The following is a 24,693-nucleotide window of genomic DNA, read 5'->3' as shown; positions in this document are numbered from 1 at the left end:
AAAGTAATTATTATCTTGTATTTGGCTTCTCTGGGTACCTGTGTGGCTTTTATTTCTAAATAAAAAAACAAAACATGCACAATGTAAATATTTTTAGTTTGTAAAATTTTCTTTCCAATTACATATTTTGAGATGTTGTATATACTGTAAACATTTTGAAGTAATTTTGCCCAAATTAAGAAAAAAAATTCATTCATCTTTTTATCTTCTTTTTATTTTGGTTCACTTTTCACCTGGGTATTAATATGGATGTTGCAGAAAGAATAGCTCCTATAAATGATAGGTTGCTGTATGGATCTGCAACAAAACCATCTTTATTTTACAGAAAGGTCTCATTACTCTAAAAGAAGGCCAGTGAAGAAATTTATATTGACCTTTTGGCATGACCTTTCTAAACCAACTGTTCCCTAGTACATAAACTAGTGAGTTTACTGCATAGAGACACCCAAAGGAGTAAAACATGAAGTGGGAGACTTTGGCCCTATTAGAAACCTTAGGGCCAGGTTCTGTTCCTTATCACCTATGAGATTTCCCTTGTTAATGATGCTGAGTTGGGCATATTTATTTTTTAGCCATTTCATCAACAACTTTTGCTTATGACTAAGGATGTCATTTCTTGTTCCCATCACATGGTGTTTTAGTACATTCCTGCTGCTTTAACAAAATATCTTACTTAGAGTAATTCATAATTTATAAAAATTCCTTATACATTCTTTATAGATTCTGACAATTCCATGAGTGTCATGAATTTCACTAGGGAAGTGACTTTTCAAAGTGAGCTCTGGACAGGTAGCCATAAGTAAGACTACGGTGGCACGGATATGCTGTGCTTTGATCAGTTGTGTGGTATGCAATTTTTATTATAAATAACACTGAACTCCATATGACAGAAATTACTCATCAACTTTTCTTTTTTTTTTTTGAGACGGAGTCTCGCTCTGTTGCCCAGGCTGGAGTGCAGTGGCGCGATCTCGGCTCACTGAAACCTCCGTCTCCCGGGTTCACGCCATTCTCCTGTCTCAGCCTCTCCGAGTAGCTGGTACTACAGGTGCCCGCCACCACGCCCGGCTAATTTTTTTGTATTTTTAGTAGAGACGGGGTTTCACCATGTTAGCCAGGATGGTCTCGATCTCCTGACCTCGTGATCTGCCCGCCTCCGCCTCCCAAAGTGCTGGGATTAAATTAGATGTAAAATGTTGTTCAGGTTTATTAAATAAAGAAAGAAAAAGATTGTTAACTAGATGTCTTATTTTGTTTTTCTCTGACAACAGCTGTCTTGTAAATTGGTATACTTAGATCATGCACATTTAAAGTAATTATTGGGTGGTAAAAAAGTTGGGCTGGTATTTATTATGTTTATAACTATTTTCTATTCATATCAGTTATTCTTTGCCTCCCAACAATCACTCTTTTTCTTATTTCTATTGTTTTAATTGACACTTAAAATAATCCCATTACATTTCCTCTCCTAGCATGTCAGTTATACTTTAGAACAGTTTTAGTGATTTATGTGAGTTTGCAATACACATTTTTAACTAATCTCAATCTACCTTTAAATAAGACTTTGAATAACTCAACACAAATATCACTTTACAAGAGTGTTACAGACTCAATATTTGTATTCCCCTATTCCCCCAAAATGTGTATGTTGAAACCTAATCCCTATGGTAAGAGTATTTGGAGATGGGTCTGTGGGAAGTGATTAGGTCATGAGGGCAAACTGTTATGGATAGAATTAGTGCCTTTACAAAAGAAACCCTAGAGAGCTAATTTGCTCTTCTGCCACGTGAAAACCCAGTGACCCATCCTCTATGAACAAGCCCTTGCCAGACACTTAATATGCACATGGCTTGACCTGGGACTTTCCAGTCTCAGAACTGAAAACTGCATTTTTGTTGATTATAAGCCACCTGGTGTATGGTATCCTGTTATAAAAGCCTGAGCAAACTAAGATACAAGTAATCCCAATTCCTACCATTATTTATGACACTACTGCCATTTATTGTATTCATTTATATACTATATTCATTCAATACATTGTTACAGTTACTCCTTTTAAACAAAATATTATCTTTTAGGTCAATTAAGAATAAGAAAATAAAACATTTTATTTTAGTTTCATTCATTCCTTCTATGATATTCTTCCTTTCTTTATATAGACCAATTTTTGACCTATACCATTTTTCTTCTCCCTAGGAACTTCTTTGAACATTCCTTGCAAGGCATGTCTACTGACCATAAACTTTCTCAGTTTTTGTTTGTCTGAGAAGGTCTTTATTTCTTCTACACTATTGCAGGATAATTCTATTAGATATAGAAATGTAGGCCAGATGCGATGGCTCACACCTGTAATCCCAGCACTTTGGGAGGCCGAGGCGAGCAGATCACGAGGTCAGGAGATTGAGACCATCCTGGCTAATACAGTGAAATCCCGTCTCTACTAAAAATGCAAAAATAATTAGCCAGGTGTGATGGCATGCGCCTGTAGTCCTAGCTACTTGGGAGGCTGAGGCAGGAGGAATTGCTTGCCCAGGAGGTGGGGGTTGCAGTGAGCCGAGATTACACCACTGCACTCCAGTCTCCAAAAAAAAAAAAAAGAAAAGAAATGTAGATGGTGTGTGTGTCTCTGTGTGTTTCACTTTCAACACTTTAAGTATTTCCCCCCACTCTCTTCTTGCTTTCATCTAATGAAAAACCAACTGTAATTCTTAGCCTTATTTATTTACAGGTAAGTTTTCTTGTTTACCCTTGGCTCCTTTCAGTATGTCTCTCTGTCTTTGATTTTCTTTGGTTTAAAAAATATATACCTAAGTACAGATTTTTGACATTTATTCTGCTTGGTATTCTCTGCACTTCTTGAATCTGTATTCAGTATCTGCTGTTAATTTTGGAAAATTCTTAGCCATTATTACTTTAAATATTTATTTGGATCTGTTCTTCCTTTCTTTACATTCTGGTATTCAGATGTACCAGCTAATATTCCACTAGAAAGAAAATAAAATATAAAATTGAGTAAAATAAAACAAAACAAAATAAAATAAGGAGTAGCAACACAATGCATTAAATTCAATGCAACGGATTAAATATGTTTTGATCTGTTAAAAAATCAATTTGAACAATGATGTGGTTTACAGTTAGTATGCAATATAGAACTCTGAATTTAATTGAGTTTTTATTTTTCTACAGTGGTTTTACAGTAAAAATAATTTGAGTTTAAGTTTGGATTGTTACTTTTAAAAACAGAGCTAATTAGCATTGTTTATTACTTTCTCACCTTAATTTTCTTATATATATGTATATGTGTGTGTGTGTGTATGTATATATATATATATATATATATATATATATATATATATATATAAAGAGATTATAGATCTGTAATGCTTAGCATAAGTCCTGGTAAATTGCATCTATTCAATGAACATTTGTTCTCCCTTTAATTCCTGCAATCTAGATGGTGGTTCATGGATATAGTTGCTCTCTAATTTTTTGAGCATATTAAGGACTTAAAAGCTAATGATGGTGTATTGTTATGTCAAGGCCAGAAGAGCATATCACTTTAAAAAACTGGCAATAGAAACTTCTCTTTAAAAATTGTAAAAGTAAGTAAAGTTTAGAAACCAACCAAGTACGAGCAATGCAATGTTAGCATCTCATTGGTTCACACCAGTGAAAAGTATTTAAGAACAAAGAAATAGTATACTGTACCACACAGAAACTTGCATGCAAATGTTTATTGCATGTGCAGCTATATTCTTACTTACTAAAACTTAGAAGCACCCAGCTTATCCTTTAATAGATAATCATTCCTTAATTAGATAAACAAACTCTGGTATATCCATACAATGACATAATTATCAGGGGTAAAAAAATAAGCCATCCAGTCACGATTAGACATGGAGGAAATTTGAATGCATATTTCTATGTGAAAGAGGCCAGTCTGAAAAGTCTACATATTGTATGAGTCCAAGTATATAATCTTCTAGAAAAGGCGAAACTATAGAGCTAGTGCAAAGTTTAGGCATTACCAGGAGTTGGGCATGTGGGGGATAAGTAGGTGGAGCACAGGGAATTTTTAGGGCAGTGAAATTATTATCTATGATTCTGTAATGGTGGATACATGACATCATGCATTTAGCAAAACCCATAGAACTGTATAATACAAAGAGTGAACCCTAATGTAAACTCTGGTCTTTAGTCAATAAATACATCAATGTTGGCTTCTTAATGCAATTTCATTTTAAAATATAAATTTTCTTATTTTTTCCACATATTTCTTAGGGACAAAATTTTAAATAATTTCTAGCTTCACTGTTTTCTAATGGATAAAAGCATAAATTAAATATGCTTTTATTACTGAGAGGATATGACATTATAACAGATTTATTAATAATCAAGAGTGTATTAACATATTTATATAAGGTAACATTCTGTGGATTTTTGTTTCCAAATAACTCAGAATTGACAAAATAAAAATATAATTATTCAATGATGAATATCCAATGAGCAATATTGATCTATTTCATAAACATTTCATCCTGTCAATCACAGGGATACTCAGTTCAAATACATCAAAAGAAAACATTCTTCAGGTAAATTGAAATTACAATAGTTTCAATTTTTACAAAAGTTTAGATGTTGATAACAGTTTCAGAGCCACTTCTCTGTATAGAAAAGCTTTCTGGGGATGTCATGGTTGTAACTAAAAGCAAAAATACAGATTTATAGATAACAAAATGAAGAGAAATCTGTTATAAATATTGATTGTATGATTATGAGGTCTTTAGAAATTACAAATTATTTTATCAGTATATTTTAAGTGTAGGATATACTTAATTTGAATACTAATATTTATTACATATGAGCTTAATTGTGTCTCTTCAAAAGATACAATGAAGTGCTAAACTCCAGTACCTTAAAATGTGAACTTATTTGATAATAGAGCTATTGCAGATGTCACTAGTTAAGATGAGGTCAGGTGACTGCTGTCCTTATAAGAACTGGGCACAGAGATACAGACATATAGGGAGAATGTCCTGTGATGACAGAGTCACAAACTGATGCAGTTGCATGCCAAAAAATGTGCCAAGAATTGATAACTGGCACCTGAAGACAAGAGGTAAAGAAAGATTCTCTCCTTCAGGTTTCAGAGGGAGCATGGTATTGCTAACATCTTGATTTTGAATTTCTGACCTCCAAAACTGAGAGAATAAGCTTTTGATGTTTTAAGCTACCCAGTTTGTGGTATTTTGTATGACAGTCTTAGAAAATGAATACAAATAGTAAACCATAAGCAAAACTACAAGCATGGAAATTTACCCTAATTCACTTTCTGCATAACACTTATGATTCAAAAATTGATATTATATTTTATATTTTTAATTATCTTTCTCACATAGGAGAACATAAACATCCTGAGGGCAAAATCTTTATTCAGTTTTTATTTTACTCATAACACTTAGAACATCGAGTGGCAATTGATGTGTTTGCTAGTCAGGATATTATTCTGGTGAATACTGTTCATTCTATGTAACAAGAAACCACTGATGTATCAGTAGTTTATGAAAGGTTTAGTTTAACTGATGCTACCTATCCAAAACAGGCAAAGCAGTGGGACTTCCCCTTCCTGCGAGTCAGGTAAAATATTTGATACATGTTTTCATAGCCACAGAGATGGGGGGAAACAGAACATGGCAAAGAATGACTGGACTCTAAAAAGTTTTATATTCTGGATTAGTCAGAATTTCAACAGAAAGCAGTGGGTAAATACAACCAAGAATAATTTGAGGAATGCTTCCATACAAAGGAAGGAGCATGAAAGAATTGTAAGCAATAAATCTGGAACTGGCATTCAGTGAGGATAAAAACAAAACCTGGAAAAAGAAGGAGTAGAAGATCAGACCACCTGGAGAACAAAAGTGACCTTCTGTAAAGAGACACATGTAGGGAAGACAGCCTCATGGGGAAGAGACCAACAGAATAAACACCGTGACCCTTTTCTCCTCTTCCTTTCTGCCTTCTTACAGGGTTCTCCACAGGCTGAACCTAACCTGAAGCCAGAGGGTGAGGGAGACTCCTAATGTATTCGTGAGAAGTCAAAAAAAAAAAAAAAAAAAAAAAAAAAAAAGGCCAATGAGAGTCAGGAAGAGTGGAAAGGGTTGCATTAGAAGATATTTTACACATTACTTTCCTTTTTTTATGTTACCATTATAAAGTGATATATCTAGAAGCAATCTTGCATGTCAATCTTTATCTACATCTCAGATTGTGTAAACTTTATAGCTTACTGTTTCCCTCATGAAAAGGAAAGTATCCCATTGTAAGAGTAAGACAATATACAACTATGTTATATAGTGTTAACTTCTGTTAATTGTTTGTAAGACAAATTATTGGGGTGATTACATGAAATAAGGAGGTCTAAATTAAACTTTCAATGACAGAAAACCAGCAATATATAAGAAACAGAACAAACATTCTTAATGTATTTAATGTATTTCAATCTGTGTATTTAGCATCTACTTATAATTTTTTAAACAATTTAACTCTAGTTTTTAATATAGAGACCATTACGACATTTCTTCTTATATTTTTTAAATTATATTTTATATCATCTTTATCATTAGGATAAGCAGGGGAGAAATGTTGAATATATTGATTTATGTATCTGATATATACACTCATGTGCCACATAATTATGTTTTGGTCAATGACAGACCATATATGTATGATGTTGGCCTCATAAGATTCTAATGGCCCCGAAAAATTTCTATCATCCAGTGATATTGTAAGCCACCCAACATTGTAGCAAAATGTATTCCTAGTACTTGTGGTGATGATGGTATAAACAAATTTGCTCTTCTTTCAGTGATACTAAAGTACACATGCAATTGTGTGCAGTACATAGTATTAGATAATGATAAACTCTGTTACTGGTTTATGTGTTTTATATACTACAATTTTTATCATTAGAATTACCCCTTCTACTTATGGAAAAAAAGTTAAATCTGTGCAATAGCCTCAAGCAAATCTTTCAGGAAGTATTACAGAAAGAACCATCATTACCATAGGAAATAACAACTCCATGAGTGTAACTACCTCTGAAGCCTTTTCAGTGGGACAAGATGTGGAGGTTCAGACAGTAACATTGATTATCCTGACCTCATGTTGACATAGTCTAATGTGTTTGTCTTTTTTTTTGTTTATTTTTACAAGAAAGGTTTACAACATAAACGAAAAAAAAAGAAATACCAAAGTGGTTCCCCAAGACACCAATTTAAAGTGTATATGTGCAGTGCAGGGTTACTGGACCAAGGCACAGTGTAAACAGCGAAATTTTATTTTTTGTTTTATTTTTCCTAAGATGTTCCTTACTCCCAGTTACATAAAAATGTGTATTACAAGCAAACAAAAATTAACAGGAATAGAAATAACTATAAAGTATATTCACATTAAAATCAGCTTTGCTTTATCTATTAAAGGATGTAACACAGTTGTGGCTTTCAGAACCTTGTAACTCCTGGTTCATTGGAAAGCACAGAAATTCTTCAGAGCCTCAAGAGTTGTGTTTAATGCATTATTTAAATAGTGTCCAACCACTAGTTAGATAGCTTAGCACTCAAATAGCCTTTGAAATCTCTGTAGACTCACCTCAATTGAAGAGTCCTGATAATTTACAGAAGTGTGTAGTGCACTAAGAGATCCCTGCTGTACGATGTCTGCCTGTGGAGTGTTTTATGTGTTGATCCACTGGAGTGTGTGTGTGTGTCTGTGTGTACGTGGGTGAGTATGGGTGGGTGTGATTGTGTGTGTGTGTATGTGTTTACATTGTGGTATGTGTCTGTTGGGGTGCCGCCATTAGGGATTTGGAAGAGTGAGGACCATAAACTTGTCAACATTCCTACATGCCTGCTTCATAACAAGTGTACTGAACATGGCCAAAATAACTAAACCAAGTAAACAAATTAGACATTAATTAAATTTAATGCTGGGCAGGAAAGAAGTATTCAAGGCCAGGTAAAATGAAGAAATATAACCAAATGAATGCAATTTTTAGATTGATTCGTAGAATGAGACATGAATATTTTTTAAAATTTGTAATTTCTAATGACTATCAGTATATAAAACTAAGAATTATATGGGTGTCAATTGATTAAAAACTGTACATAAGATTTGAGCTAGTGAAACATCCATATATGAACTTCTATTTCCACTTTTCTGTCTCAAGAATGACTTGTGAAAATGATGTTTTTTTTGAAATTTTACATTCTCATTTTGAAAGAGCTTCACAAAACTTACATGAGAATCTGGATGCTCATAAGAGGTCTGATTTTTTAATGGTATGTTTGTATTTTTGTTATGTACATCAATGTCAAGCATTCATTTCCTGAGCTGTTCTCTACAACACAATTTAACTTGTAATGGACACTCAATAAATGGTCGGTTGGATATTCAAATCAACACCTTAGTTCCATCAATTTTCATTTCATATAAAAATGCCTGATCTTCTATACTCACCAATGAAACAGAGAGCGATGAAGGAGGGAGAGCAGTTGAGACTGAGAGGATGACAAGCAGACCTCATTCTGCAGTGGATTTCCCACACTCTCCACTTCTGAATGCTTGGAAACACTTGCCATGCTTAGAAAATATTGGTATTTCCTAGGCAGCAAATGGGAGTTAAAGAAAGTCCATATTTCTATATTACAATAACTTACACTATAATACACAGACAACATACATTTCTAAGCTATTTCAATTCATAGAAAATGTAGATAAATTTAGGTGAGCAAGGTGTAGGAGAAGGGTTAGTAATCAAGCTGAGTGTGATTGTGAGATTAAATCTAATATTATGCAATTATTGTATAATTGTATCAGTTGATATATCTGTTGAAACAGAAGGTGGGAGAGTTTTGCATGCGCTTCCGAAATGTACTGGATGATGTTAGGAGAGAGGCGGGTCAACGTGGCTAGGCCAGAAGTGTTTACTAATTGAGGCTTAGGAAAGTTAAGTTCCTAACCAGAGACTGGGAGATAGAGGCGCTAAATTGTATAACATTTATATTTAATATATGTTTAATAATATATAGTAAAGTCTTAAAATGCCAGTTTTAAGTCTTTTCATTTTCTTCTTAAAAACAGAGGTTTTATTGCGTTTGGTCCACAGTTGGTATTTCACATTATCTCATAGCACAGGGCCCCTGCGGGGAGGGCTCTGTGCAGTACTTGGCGTGGCCTGGGGCCGGGGGAGATAGAGCAGTAGACCTGGTCAGGCCCAGAAGGGGAGAAGGAGGGCCGGGGCTCCTTAAGACCTACTGAGGGCCTGGGCGCGGTGGCTCACGCCTGTCATCCCAACACTTTGGGAGGACGAAACAGGCAGATAACATGAGGGCAAGAGTTCCAAACCAGCCTGGCCAACATGGTGAAATCCCGTCTCTACTAAAAATACAAAAAATTAGGCAGGCGTGGTGGCGGGCGCCTGTAGTCCCAGCTATTCTGGAGGCTGAAGCAGGAGAATCGCTTGAGCCCAGTAGGCCGAGGTGCAGTGAGGTGAGATTACTCCAGTGCGCTTCAGCCTGGGCGACAGAGTGAGACTACATCTCAAAAAAAACAAAAACAAACAAAAAACCCTACTGAGGGCCACGGAGGTGGGGGAGCTAGGATGGAGATGGGTCAGGCTTAACCCTGACAACTCAAAATTCCACTACCTTGTACGGGCCTCAGTTTCCTCACGGGGTCCCAGTGTAGGTCTGAGGTCTGTTGGTCTGAGGGTCCTAGGGAAATCCAGCCACTCAGGAGCCTGAGATATTTTAGCATCGTGGCTGGGCCCCCTCTCCCAGGGGACTCATTTCCTAGCACCCTCTCCACTGTCCCCGCCCCATTCCTCGGGAAAAAAAAATTTTTTTATTTTGTTAATACTTCCTGAAACTTTTGCGGGTACAGAAACCACTTACTGATAGGCTGAGAAAAGGGGAAGAGGAGAGGCAACCAGAAACCTTCAGGGACCAGTTCCCTCCATGTCCAGGTCTCTTCTCTCCAGCACAGCTCAGCCCACAGCCTGGAAGTGCCAGCGGGGACCTTCACCCTACACGCATCAGGATACGGCCTTGATCCCTTCCCCCACAGCCCGGTGGCTCAGTCCTGAGAAGGAACCAAAGCAAGGGGAGGTGGGGGAAAAATCCCTGCTGCCTGATCCCACGCTGCCACTCACAGACCCTCGGTTGACTGGCAGCACTGAACAGGTTAAAAAAAAAAAGATGAAAACACAGAAAAACCCAAACACCCAGAGGGGAGATCATGTGTGGAGAGAGCGTGCTGGGAGCCTCAGTAGCCGGTCTCCTCCTGGTAGTAAGGGAGATATTCAGGGGCCTCCCCTGGCCCCGGGCAGTCGCCGGAGCCCGAGGGAGCACCGTGGGCCACTGGGCCTCCCCAGTAGTACTTGGGGTCGTATATCTGCGGGCCCAGGCCAAAGGCCTGGCCGCTCTGATGAGCGCCCTGCGTGTATCCCATCTTCAGGGACGTGGAGGTGGAGGAGTTGTCACACTTGTCGATTCCCAGCTAGGTGTCATAGGTGTGCTCATTCCTCCTATCTAGCTGTAAGTTTGTATTTGTTAACCAACCTCTCCCTGTCCTCTCCTCCCTGTTGCTCTCCCCAGCCTGTAATAACCAGAATTCTACTCTCCACTTCCATGAGTTCAGTTCGTTTTTTTTTTAGCTCCCACATATGAGTGAGAACATGCAAGATTTATAATTCTGTGCCTAGGTTATTTCACTTAATATAGTGTTCCAGGCTGATCCATGTTGCAGCCAAGGACAGGATTTCATTATTTTTACGGCTAAATAGTACTCCACTGTGAATAGACACTACATTTTTAATCGATTATGTTTTTGGACATTTAGGTTGATTCTAATCTTGGCTACTGTGAATAGTGGCTGCTATAAACATGAGGGTGCAGGTATCTCCTAAATATGCTGATTTCCTTTCCTGTAGATAAATGCCCCACAGTGGGACTGCTGGAAAAAGAAAAAATTCTTTTTCGTTAAACCTGATCATGTCTGTCCTCATAAATGCATGTTACACCCATCTCTCGCCATCAATGCAACCCCACCCCGAGCAGTTGTTCACTCTTCTTTTCCCTCGTTCTCTGCACAGCGTGTGCCTCCATACCCCAGCCTCAGGCCTTTCTATACTACTTCCCATTTGAGGCACTGTGTTTTTATTCAACTTTGGTACTGTCCTTTGAGAATCTTCAACGTGATTTGGATATGACACTTTTTATCAGGATGTTACGTCAGAGTTGATAAATTCAAAGTAATATCGTTCTTTTTCCTGCCAAAGTCAGCTCCTCCTTTCCACTGCACTTTCCTGCTGATGCCACCACTCTTTCTCCTGTTGTGTAGGGAGAACACAGGTCACCTCCCTGGCATGAAATGTGCAGGTGCTCAATAAAGATTTTTTGAATACATGAATGAATGTTCTTAGAGGACACCCTTGTACCTGGACTGGTCATTACATAGGTGTAAGTTTTATTCTCTAAAAGGGGTGAGTGAGAGTTTATACTAAGGTTGTAAGCATCCCTCAGGGCAGACTCTGGATGTATATTACAGAACTGCTGAACTTGTGGAATGTGCATGTTTAATACTGAAAATATTTAATGCCACATGTGTAAGACTTTTGCCAACTGGAATCTGAACATCAACAACTTTGAAGGGCTTATTCTACCTTCTCAGCACAAAAATACTTTCTACGAATGCACATATTTATGTGCAAACGTATAGAAAATTGACTTTAAAGTGTACAACAAATTTATTTTAGCAATTGGGCCTGGGGGACCTAGAAGGAGAATGAGATTGGAGTGGTAGGGGTGGAACATTAGCTAATAATGCTTTATTTTATTAAAAGTAATTACTGAAAACCAATGCAATAAAATATTAACATGTTAATTGAAGGGGTTGGGAGTATAGTGCTTATATTCTTCTTTACATGTTTTAATATCTTTAAAATTCCTTTTTTTGCTTTTGGTAAGGAAGTCACAGTTTAATTGGCAGTATATCTCTAATGGTACATGAAATAATGTCTGATTTCTAAACATTGACATTCTACATTAGATGAAATATATTAACTATTAAGCTTTGATATTACACTATAAAATTAATTGAAGAAAGCCACCCCTCTTTGTTTCTTTTTTTTTTTTAGTTATTATGTGCCCCATATGATCTGCAGGAGTTTTTTTTCTAGGCTTTGATCATTTTAAATAAAATCAGAATTTGTTCAAGTTCAGTTAACACTCAACTGTGAACCCTATGGTACTGGGGTCTTTTTCAATGGGAGATCTCTAAGCATTATTCCAAACTATTCTATGCTAATTGATCTATTGATAACTTATAATTTATTATGAAATACATTAAATTTCTTAAAAAGAAAAAGGAAAGAAGTAAAGGGAAACATTTATTACAATTTAAATAAAGGAATTAGCAGTTGAAAACAAGAAAACCTATTCTGAGCATCCATACTTCTCAGCAACCAAAACAATCAATGAAATCAATGCATTGGGTTAAACAGTTCCCAATTGCCCACTATGTTACCAGGAGAAAAAAACCCTTTATCATAGGGTTAAACTTTGGGAAAGATTTTCCATAAGGATCTTAATATAAAGGTTCTTGAATGACATAATGTATAAGGTCTTTGATAGCAACACTACCCACAGTGCAAAGATGTTTTACTAGTCCTGTTTGTGTCTCAAATTGGCTCTCGGTAAGTAATCTGGACATATCGTGAAATTATAATTCTGTGTAGACAATTCGACTTACCAGGTTAGAGTGATGCAATCCAAATAGATGGCTTTCTTCTGATCTGGCTTAACAGAAATCTTGAAAAATCTGGAGGAGTAAATGTTTAATATACCCTCAATTCTCAACCATTCTTCTTCCCCTGAAAGACAACATCACAGGCAGGACATCCTCCCAAGGGTACACACAATATTATGTACAGTTCTCACGTGAGAAAGCACATCATAATCTTAGTGAGAATGATGTTCTCATAAGGTCAGTTATACTCAGTGTGCATAGTTGTCCAAGTGTGAGTATGAAACCAAGTCATTCGCAAGTACCACTAGTCTGATTATTAGTAATAATAATCCACTTGTGACATAGTTTTTCTTTGCTGAAATAAAATATTGTTTTGACACCATGGTTGAAATGTTGGTCTTAGGTCAATGCTCTCTATTATCTGTTGTTGTTGCCAAGCCTCTGAGAGGTGTTTTATGTGGGGCAAAAGGTCCCTTCCTGTGTCTTTGGTCAAAGCAAAGGAGGAGTACAGATGACTGAGATAGTGATCATGCTGCTGTGACCACCTATGCGGTAGACCTTGTTCCTGGGTTGGGAGATGTTTTATGATCAGGGTGCAGTAGAAAGAGCACACTAGTAGCAGTAAAGAGAGGTGACCCTGGCTGCAGTTCTGCCTCTAACTTCCTGAGTGACCTCAGGCTAGTCACACAGTGACTGCTCCCCACATTTCTTTTTGTAAGCTGCAAGGATTGAATCAGACAATAGCCTCTAAGTTTCTTCTGAACTCTCATACTCAGGGATGCCAACGATGTTGGTAATAAAATGGTATGAACGTGCCAAAAAAATAAAAATAAGGAAGAGAAATAGGTATGTAACTTTATTCTGGGAATCCTGTGGTATCTCACAACACCACGCTTCATGAACCCCAAAGAAAGCAAAAAATCCAGCTAGTGTTATAAATCCTGATCAGCTGAATTCTTTCACATGTTGCAGCCTGACTCAAGTTATTCATCGCAGAGGCTAGCAGCTCCCTGATACATCCTTCCTTGTCTCTGGACAGGGTAAAAATAAGAAATTGGCCATTGTGAGACACTCTGAGTTTTGTGGGATTGAGCAGAGCATATTTTATATTCTTCTCTTGGAACTGCCTCTTGTTGGTAGTAAATGGTTGCCAGCACTGTTGTTTCTCAATAGACAAGTCCTAGAAATAAAGATAATTCAATTTTCATTCACTCTTAGCTCTTCTGCTACCAGTGTTCTTCTTTGACACTGACAGGGCTGCACCTGTCTTCCTGGCCTGACATAGCACTTGTGTGGTTTGCCACTTGCCAGAAAATCCACGAGTCATTCTAAAGACCTTTTGCCCAGCAGATACCACTCCAGTGAGCACAAATTGTCTAGTGGTATTTTTTAGATGGTCTTCCTCCTTGGCTCATTTCTCTCCAAGAATGAAGATATCAAGGTGTTCATTTAACAGCAGCTCCTGAAAGACAATCCACCTTGGTTTAAATCTTTAACGGTTTTCATTATAATAGAAAATATAATAGCAAGAGTAGCATCCTCTGTTACATTGAAATTAAATTACAATTCTTTCACTGTTGGGGTGGCAAGTATAATTCCTATCACTTCTTTGGAAAGCAATACAACTTACTAAAGATCACCAAAATGTTTATACTTTTTGGAACCAAAAACCTCACTGAAAAAAATTTATTCCAAGAGTATGATTCAACAGAAAAAAAAAAACCAAGTAATATACATGTGCATGTTTCTCCCTGTGAAAACAACAGCACAGAATTCACTAGACAAGTTTTGAAACAGTTGGCTATGTGGTAACATGGAACAACATTCTCCTATAATGTTGAAGGATAAAAGCTTAGAGAATAGAATATATTCTATGACTGCAACTATGAAAGAAAACATAGATCTACATAGGGACAAAGGTGATAAACATGCGAAAACAGGTGTTAGATTCATGGATTATGTGTATTTTTCCTGCATTCAGATTTATCTTTATTATTGCTTTTTTATGTTCCCCTCTCCTCCCCCCAAAAAATCCTAAAGATCTTGAATGTGCCCCTATCAGTATTTAACATTTCTTCTGAAACTGAGTCTAGATACTCATTCTGCTCCAGTTTTTCAAACAAGATGAGTAGCAAAGTTATTCTTTCCATTTTTTTGTTTGTTTGTGTTTTTTGTTTGTTTGTTTTTTGTTTTTTTTACAGCCAGACACAGGTCTTGAATTATACAGCTGACTTCTTTGTTTGGGATACGTTACTTTCAATCATTTTCCTGATCCTCTGCATGATTTACAGAAGCCGAGTGGGAGGCTTTAGCATTTCCATGGTCCTCCTTCTCCACTATCATGAGATTCTTAGGTGAATTTTTTTTAGAGCCATTATTCTCCATTTATAAAGGCAGAATGCAGTGGCAGGAGCTGGGACTCTGGGAAACCAACAGCCAAGAATTCAAACTACAGCATACTATGAAACACTCAGATAAGATGTCCCCATCATATTCTATTATTGGGCAAAATAAAATGTAAACCATGTGCTCAAAACAGCAAATATTGTGGGTGACAGTGACACTGGTATTCGGAAAGATGAAGAAATGCAATTAAGAAACCTGGCAAAGAAGTAAACATGCCATGTAGCTTACAAAAGACCAGCCACATTGTGTGTATTTTAATATTGTTTAACAGTAACACCTAATAAAGGGAGCATCATGATTGTGTGAACTACATTTTCGGTCATAATGAATGCTACAAAATTAACCTCCCGAGTTTAAATAGGCTACAATGTCTTGGGAAATATGCAAGAAGAATTATTTGATAAAGGTGACAGTTTTTCACACCTGAAAATAATGTTTTTCTCCCAGCCTATCTTGATCAACAGCCAGCAGCAACACATTGCAGATATAATCTCAAGACCTTGTGGCATGTACTTCTCACTACATGCATAACTTACTATGGACAGAGGATCATGGAGATTTTGAATATAATTTCCCACATGACAGGAGATTAAATAGACCACATTGGAAGAAGCTAGGTCTCTGGAGAACCAAAAAGTAAACTTCAGCCAGTTCTGGAAGCAGACAAACAGCAAGAAATATACTTTCAGATGGGCTACTTTCTCAATAGTTCTTTCTTGCAAGAGCTCTAGGGAAAGTATGAGTTACTGGGTAAGAATGTAATAGAAAAGGGGCCAGCCTTGGAAAACTTTGCAATGGAAGAAAATCAGTGTCTCCTCATTTACATCTTTCTTTCTCCTCTTCCTTTGTAATGCCACCTTTCTTGGGATATTCCTTCCCCTAGAATACCCAGCCTGTCACCCCACGAGAACCTGCTCTTGAGACTGCATTTCTAATACCTATAATGAGATGTTATGTCAATGCCTTATCTCTCAGTGTGTGTATATACATATTAAGCTTTCTGTCTATGTTGTGCTTTCTCATGCAGGAATATCAGACATTAATGAACCAGTAAAGAAGATACTGAGGTGCAGAAGAGCTTTCCCAGTGTCCCAGGAGCCATTCTACACAGCATCCTACAGAATGACTGTGGATCTGCTGTGCTTAGTTTCTTTACTTGTGAAAACAGAGTAATAGTAGCACCTACCTCACAGGGTTGTTCTGAAGATTAGAGGGGTTCTTTCATGGGAAGCTCTAGAGCAGTGCTTGAGACATGGTAAGTGCTCAACATGTGTTCATTATTATTATCATTATCAATATTTGATGTAAAAGCCTTTCTGAAAGAAATCACACAAGAACATGATCAGTTAAAAGATACATATGAATGAAAGTATGTTTGACACTGTCACAACACAGAGTGGCATAATGGTTAGGAACATAGGCTTTGGAAGTCAACCATCTGTGCTCAAAGCCTAGTGTCACCACACAGCCATTGTGGGACACTGGGCCTCAGATTTCTAGCCTGAAAAATGGGGGAACAATGTCTGTCATATAAAGTTGCTGTAAAGATCAAACTAGATAAGAAATGTAAAATACTCAACAGTGCCTGACACAAAATAAACACCAATTAATGGTAGCAGGAAGAAAAGAGCACTCTTCACCAACATTTTACCTTCAGAAATTGGTTAAGAAGAAATGAGTGCTTAGGAACCTTCCTGTTAGAGCTGGGAACACAAATAACACCAAGATATGACCCAACTGAGAAATGAGACACGAGAGTCAGCAGGTCTCAGGACTTGAGAACATATCATAGATCTGGGGCCAAGGGGACCTCCCAATACCCCAGTCTTGAATTAGCCAGATGTGCCTTTCAGTCCTTGGCTGAGGTGGACTGAGGCCTCCTCCAAAGGGAGAAATAAATGCGCATCCTGAAGAGAGCTGACTCTGAAAGAGAGAGAAACCCACAGAGGCTGAGTTTCACCAGTACAGCTACTTTCAAGCACAGTCCTCAGTTAAGTCATTTCTCTTCCCAAGGGGAGGACTGAATGAGCTTATGGTGAGAGGCCGAAAGCTTTTCTCCTTTATTTTTCCCTCATGGGAGAGGATGGAAGTGCTATCCTTTCTGTGGGAACCTGCAGACTATGGACGTTTCCCCCAGCAGTTGGCATTGACTGATTTATCTGCATGTTTCTCTGTTCACATCCTCTATATGAAGAATCGAAGTGCGAATAGCCCCCCAAGTAATCTGATAGTACCAAAGCACTATTCTAGTTTTGTGTAATTTTTAAGTCTCTTCTTTAAATTTTTTTTTTTTTTTTTGCAGACTCCATCCCAGACACAGCATACCAGAGTCTCCAAAGGGCTAAGCTCAGCAATCTATTCTCAAGCTCCCAACAGGAGTCATATAGTCAGGCAGGCAATGATCATATATGGGGACCATTAGAAATAATCTAATGCATACCCTCTGAACTTCAAATTTTTAGTATTCTCATTTTCTGCTCAAGCTCAATTTCAACACAGTTCACAGTTTCTCATATCCACCATGGCATTCTGCCAAGGAACTACAACTCGTGTTCTCTAAACCCATCTGTTCTAAGAATGCTGGGCTGGTTATCAATTTCTAATGTACCTGCTTAAACTTTCCTCTCTCAATATGTCCCTGACTGAACTGCAGAAGACAGAACAACTGTACTAGCCATCTCTTTCTGCATATCCCATGTCCCCACAGAGGCCACTGTGTCTTCATAAAGCTAACTTCCACGATTTTCACAAGTGATATTTTTCCTTCATGATTTTCCATTTTCCACTTGAGCATTAAAATACCAGGGAGAAAAGGAAGATAATCGTTTAGCAGCTGGGAAAACAAGATATGTGCCCCAGCACAGTACATGCTAAGTATTCAGAATGTATAGTTATAGTAGATAACTATAAATTAGATAACTATTAAAATAGTTATATTAGATAAGTAATATTTTTCTCATCTTCAAGACTTAAAAAGTTAACTGTTTTAAGTGGTATTCAAAAAAGGAAGGTACTCACTCACATCAACGCAATTAAAACCACATTTCTATAGCTGGATGTAACAATCTTAATCCAAATCATTCACCAAAGTTGTTTAACTTTCTTAAAGTAAGGCTCTAGACATTTGCTTCTTTACAAGTATCTTGCAAAGCCATTATGAGGTAGAAGAAAAGTTTAAATGCGCCACATTTTCCTCCTCCATTTTAACTAAAATTACTACTCACAGGACGTGTATAGCTTCTGCATTTTGGTCCATCACATTTTCCGCCATCAAATGAGTGTACTCTTAAGGTTCTCACTTTATCATCAGCATAACATATTTTGCTTCCAGAATGCCCAGTAAAGCTGAAATTTTTCATTTAAAGTGATAAAAAAGTTCCCTAAATATCTACTTAACAATCTTAGATCTGAGTTTTAGCAACAGTTTAATGCATACACAATGAAAACACTATATTTCTCACTCTCTCTCACACGCACAGATTAAAACCCCAAAGTTTTCACTATATTTCCTCTTTCTTATACAGCTCAATTTTTAACATGCAGCTTCCTTATAATCTAAAAACAATTTTAAATATGATTATCATAAAAATATTTTAAAACAGAGATGCAATGTATAAAGGCAGATATAGATCATCCATGGTTACATTGGTTACATCACATTTCTTTAGAAACAGAACTGTTTCTACTCCTGTAGACAAACTTTTCTCTCACACATTTAAAGTGAGGTTAGTGCTGACATAAAATTATTGCTCTACTCACTGCCTGAGTGTTTGCACTGTGTTTGAGGTACATTTTCTTCATTTTCACAGCCCCACCACTCTTGAGAGTATGAGTCAACAGAAGTTTGCAGGCTAAAACCATTCAATAATATTTTCATCAATACTGGAATGATAGTAAGTAACATTACACAACATCAGAGGCCAAAAATTTTTCTTTGTTGAAGCCCAAGATTTTAACTTATTCTTCATTACCTGAAAATACTGCTCATTTAACCTCTTTAGGAAAAAAAATATTCTGTAGATGAATAATTCCTGCCTTAACGCTTCACCCAAGACAGTTCCTTCATATTTATCCTCCGATGCTTTGTTCTTTTAATCCATTTGATGTAGCAAGCAACAAGAATCACCTTTCCTTTGGTGATCTGACATAGCGATCTCTTATGTTTTTGCTAATTGTTTGATAAATATTTAGTAAATTTTTCCACGGTATGTATGCACTGTTTTTTGTAGTTCCAATTCTAAAGGTTTTATTAATGAATAAACATTGTCATCTTAAAAGAACAATTTCTCAGTGCTTCATAAACAGCTCTAAATGCTGGTTGCTTATCATCATGGTAAACACCTCTGTTCCCGTGAAAAATAAAGATTCCTTCTCCTGCTTCTTGGCAACTGCTTCCATATAGACAATGATCTGGACGACACTTCCATTGACACGGAAAGACAAAAAGGCTTTCTGGATTATGAAAAAACAGGATATCCAACAAATCTTGATCGCCCATGTAATGTTTAACTTGTATATTTTAAGCCATGTCATAAGTATATCTTCTCATTGTAGTCACACAGTTGTCATATTATTTTTGAAATACTTCCTTTTCATTCAAGTCATGTTGTCAACATAACTCCAGAGTTTGCTCCAGCTTTTCCACAGTATGGATGCCTAGCAAAGCGACTATATCATCCTATTTGACATTCCTTGTGTTCTGGGGCCATTGCAGAATTTGTGTGGAATTAAATTTCTTTAGTAAAGACCAAATATTATCAGCTGGTCTTTTAAAAAGGCTATCAGTGTGAGAGTCAACTTCTTTCAGGAATAACGGCAAGGACAATCTCTGCAAACCACATGGTTTAAAGAGTTTTTCCACTCTGCTGCATTCTCACTTGGAAAGGTTATGGAGTATATTGTATAATTAAATATTTGTAGAAATGACCCCTGTCAAGCCTTCCTTTAAAGCTATGATGAGTTGATCTTCAGCAAAAATCTGGAATTGAAGAGGTTTGATCCTGAAAATAATAGCTGACTTCAACATGGTCATAGTTTTTTCAAGTCTTTCACCTAGATGCATTTTCTCAACAGGCTGTATTTTCAGACTACACCTGTCCCACCTGCGGGGATGCGCAGCGGGACAAGCACTGCTCGCGCCTCTCACCGCACCGCATCCGCCTCCCGCCAGCCAGGAAGCCACTGCGGCCTGCAGCTTCCCGCCACCACCGCCCGCTCCTTCCTCCGGGGACATGGGGAGCTGGCTGAAGGCGTAAAGGAGCGAGCAGAAGCCTCAGGCCAGACACAGCGCCACCACGCGCGGTAGCGCCGCATGGCCCCAGCCGCGTTCCTCGGTCTCCGTCTCCGCCGCGCCCGCCTGGCGAACTGGAGCACAGGGACCATAGTTCTGGAAATTTATCCTTTTTCTCTCCATGGATTCAGCAGCAGTGTCTAAAAGAAAAAAAATTCATCAATCAATCATTTATATATGTTTTAATATAAAGATAAAACACTGCGAACCAGTGGAACTGGATAGAAAGTAATTCAGTTTTACAGAACACATCTGTTTTTCAGGCTCTTACTTTTCTTAAACATAAAAGAGCCATATATATTTCTATGGAATTCCCCTTTTACTTAAGAATTCATTATCAGCGAATTAGTGTAACGAGGGTGTTTTGTTAGAGGCTGTGGTTGCATTTAAAAATTAGAATAGGAACAACGACTTGTAAAAATTCAACACTTTATTTTATTTTTGAGACAGTCTCACTGTGTTGTCCAGGCTGGAGTGCAGTGGCTTGATCTCAGCTCACTGCAACCTCCCCCTCCAGGGTTCAAGCCATTCTCTTGCCTCAGCCTCCCGAGTAGCTGGGATTACAGATTTGTGCCACCATACCTGGCTAATTTTTGTATTTTTAGTAGACAAGGGGTTTCACCATGTTGGCCAGGCTGGTCTTGAACTGCCAACCTCAGGTGATCCTCCCCCCTCAGCCTCCCAAATTGCTGGGAGTACAGGCGTGATATAACATTTTAACATTTTAAACTACCACTTACTACATTCACTGTGTCTGTGATTTAATATATCTTTTTCAGTGGCCACAAAATTATAAAATGGATACAGAATAGTCTCTTCAAAAAATTAAGGAAGTTCTTTTTTTTTCTTTTTCTTTTCTTTACTTTTTTTTTTTTTTTTTTTTTTTTTTTTTTTTTTTTTGGTTTGAGACGGAGTCTTGCTCTGTCGCCCAGGCTAGAGTGCAGTGGCACAATCTTGGCTCACTGCAACCTCTGCCTCCCGGGTTTAAGGAATTCTCTGCTTCAGCCTCCCGAGTAGCTGGGATTACAGGCGCCCGCCACCACGCCCAGCTAATTTTTTTTGTATTTTTAGTAGAGACGAAGTTTCACCATCTTGGCCAGACTGGTCTTGAATTCCTGACCTCAGCCCGCCTCGGCCTCCCAAAGTGCTGGGATTACAGGCGTGAGCCACAGCGCCCGGCCGGAAGTTCTTTCTTCTTGAAGGGATTATAAATATAATTCATACTGGCATGACACTTTTACTAATATAGATTGACTTTTCGCTTCAAATAACCCATTCGTACATCGAAATTAATTTTGGTCAGTATGTGTGTGTGTGGATGTATGTGTATGTGGATGTGTGGATGTATGTGTGTGTGGATGTGTGGATGTAAATGGCAGTAAAGGGTAAAAGGGAAGGTGGAGAAAAGGGAGATGGTCTAACATTTTCCACACATTTTTAAATACACAAAATGTGTATTTAACACAATACACATACAATAAAATATGTAGTAAAACAATGGTGTGGTGAAAACAAAACATTGCGAACTAGAAAAAAGACTTAGCCGCTGGTCCTGTCGGATCCGCCCCGCGGCGGCGCCCTCCAGCCCTAAGCTCCACGCAGTTCAACAAGGGTCCCTCCTACAGGCTCTTGGCGGACGTCCAAAACAGGCTTCTGCCCAAATATGACTCCCAGAAGGAGGCAGAGCTCCGCAGCTGGATCAAGGGATTCACTGGCCTCTCCATCCGCCCCGACTTCCAGAAGGGCCTGAAGGACGGGATTATCTTATGCACACTCGTGAACAAACTGCAGCCGGGCTCAGTCCCCAAGATCAACGGCTTCCGTGTAGAACTGGCACTAGCTAGAAAACCTCTCCAACTTCCTCAAGGCCATGGTCAGCTACGGCATGATCCCGTGGACCTATTTGAGGCCAACGACCTGTTTGAGAGTGGGAACAATATGCAGGTGCGGGTGTCTCTTCTCGCCCTGGCAGGGAAGGCCAAGACTAAGGGGCTGCAGAGCGGGGTTGGACGTCCGTGACAAGTACTCAGAGAAGCAGAACTTCGACTGGCCCATGAAGGCCAGCCAGTGCGTCATCCAGCTGCAGATTACCAACAAATGTGCCAGCCAGTCAGGCATGACCGCATATGGCACGAGGAGGCATCTCTACGACCCCAAGAACCGCATCCTGCCCCCCATGGACAACTCGACCATCAGCCTCCAGATGGGTACAAACAAGTGCGCCAGCCAGGTGGGCATGACGGCTCCCGGGACCCAGCGGCACATCTATGACACCAAGTTGGGAATCGACAAGTGTGAGAACTCCTCCATGTCCCTGAAGATGGGCTACACGCAGGTTGCCAATCACAGCGGCCAGGTCTTTGGCCTAGGCCGGCAAATATACGAAACCAAGTACTAGCCGGGTGGCCCAGTGGCCCACGGGGCTCCCTCCGCCGGCAACAGCCCAGGGCCAGGGGAGGCCCCTTACTACCAGGAGGAGACCGGCTACTGAGGCTCCCAGCACGCTCTCTCCACGCATCGTCTCCCCGTCTGGGTGTTGGGTTTTTCTGTGTTCTCATCTTTTTTTTTTTTAACCTGTTCAGTGCTGCCAGTCAACCGAAGGTCTGTGAGTGGCAGCGTGGGATCAGGCAGCAGGGTTTTTTCCCCCACCTTCCCTTGCTTTGGTTCCTTCTCAGGACTGAGCCACCGGGCTGTGGGGGAAGGGATCAAGGCCGTATCCTGATGCGTGTAGGGTGAAGGTCCCCGCTGGCACTTCCAGGCTGTGGGCTGAGCTGTGTTGGGGAGAAGAGACCTGGGCATGGAGGGAACCAGTCCGCGAAGGTTTCTGGTTGCCTCTCCTCTTCCCCTTTTTGTCAGCCGATCAGTTTGTGGTTTCTGTACCTGCAAAAGTTTCAGGAAGTATTAACAAAAGAAAGAAAATTTTTTTCTTCTCCGAGGAATGAGGCGGAGACAGTGGAGAGGGTGCTGGGAAATGAGTCCCCTGGGAGAGGAGGCCCAGCCATGATGCTAAAATATCTCAGGCTCCTGAGTGGCTGGATTTCCCTAGGACCCTCAGACCAACAGACCTCAGACCCTCAAACCTATGCTGGGGCCCGGTGAGGAAACTGAGACCCGTACAAGTTAGTGGAATTCTGAGATGCCAGGATTAAGTCTGACCCCTCTCCATCCTAGCTCCCCCACCCCCGTGGCCCTCAGTAGGTTTTTTGTTTGTTTTTGTTTTTGTTTTTGTTTTTGAGATGCAGTCTCACTCTGTCGCCCATGCTGAAGCACAGTGGAGTAATCTCGCCGCACTGCACCTCGGCCTCCCAGCTTAAGCGATTCTCCTGCCTCAGCCTCCAGAGTAGCTGGGACTACAGGCGCCCACCACCACGCCTGCCTAATTTTTTGGATTTTTAGTAAAGACAGGATTTCACCATGTTGGCCAGGCTGGTCGGGAACTCTTTCCCTCATGTGATCCGCCTGTTTCGTCCTCCCAAAGTGTTGGGTTGACAGGCGTGAGCCACCGTGCCCAGGCCCTCAGTAGGTCTTAAGGAGCCCCGGCCCTCCTTCTCCCCTTCTGGGCCTGACCAGGTCTACTGCTCTATCTCCCCCGGCCCCAGGCCACGCCAAGTACTGCACAGAGCCCTCCACCCAGGGGCCCTGTGCTATGAGATAATGTGAAATACCGACTGTGGACCAAACGCAATAAAACCTCTGTTTTTAAGAAGAAAATGAAAAGACTTAAAATTGGCATTTTAAGACTTTATTATATATTATTAAATATATATTAAATATAAATGTTATACACTTTAGCGCCTCTATCTCCCAGTCTCTGATTAGGAGCTTAACTTTCCTAAGCCTCAATTAGTAAACACTTCTGGCCTAGCCACATTGACCCGCCTCTCTCCTAACATCATCCAGTACATTTCGGAAGCGCATGCAAAACTCTCCCACCTTCTGTTTCAACAGATATGTCAACTGATACAATTATACAATAATTGTATAAGATAATATTAGATTTAATCTCACAATCACACTCAGCTTGATTACTAACCCTTCTTTTACATCTTGCTCACCTAAATTTATCTACATTTTCTGTGAATTGAAATAGCTTAGAAATGTATGCCATCTGTGTATTATAGTGTAAGTTATTGTAATATAGAAATATGGACTTTCTTTAACTCCCATTTGCTGCCTAGGAAATACCAATATTT

General features: G+C 39.1%; 2 pseudogenes, besides 1 other annotated feature; one reads left to right on the top strand and one right to left on the bottom strand.

Moving 5' to 3' along the window:
- Positions 9,865–10,071: a silencer, noted in NCBI's record as "fragment chr9:66333053-66333259 (GRCh37/hg19 assembly coordinates)". NCBI's record gives its function as "represses an EF-1alpha promoter that drives an FKBP-Casp9 reporter gene in an ReSE screen in K562 erythroleukemia cells {active_cell/tissue: K562}" and the evidence as "EXISTENCE:reporter gene assay evidence [ECO:0000049][PMID:32094911]".
- Positions 19,136–20,588, bottom strand: GXYLT1P5 (GXYLT1 pseudogene 5; annotated as a pseudogene).
- Positions 22,050–24,208, top strand: CNN2P4 (calponin 2 pseudogene 4; annotated as a pseudogene).

Source organism: Homo sapiens, chromosome 9 (genome assembly GCF_000001405.40).
Source record: "Homo sapiens chromosome 9, GRCh38.p14 Primary Assembly".
Lineage (NCBI taxonomy): Eukaryota > Metazoa > Chordata > Mammalia > Primates > Hominidae > Homo > Homo sapiens.
This window is presented reverse-complemented; position numbering and strand designations above follow the sequence as displayed.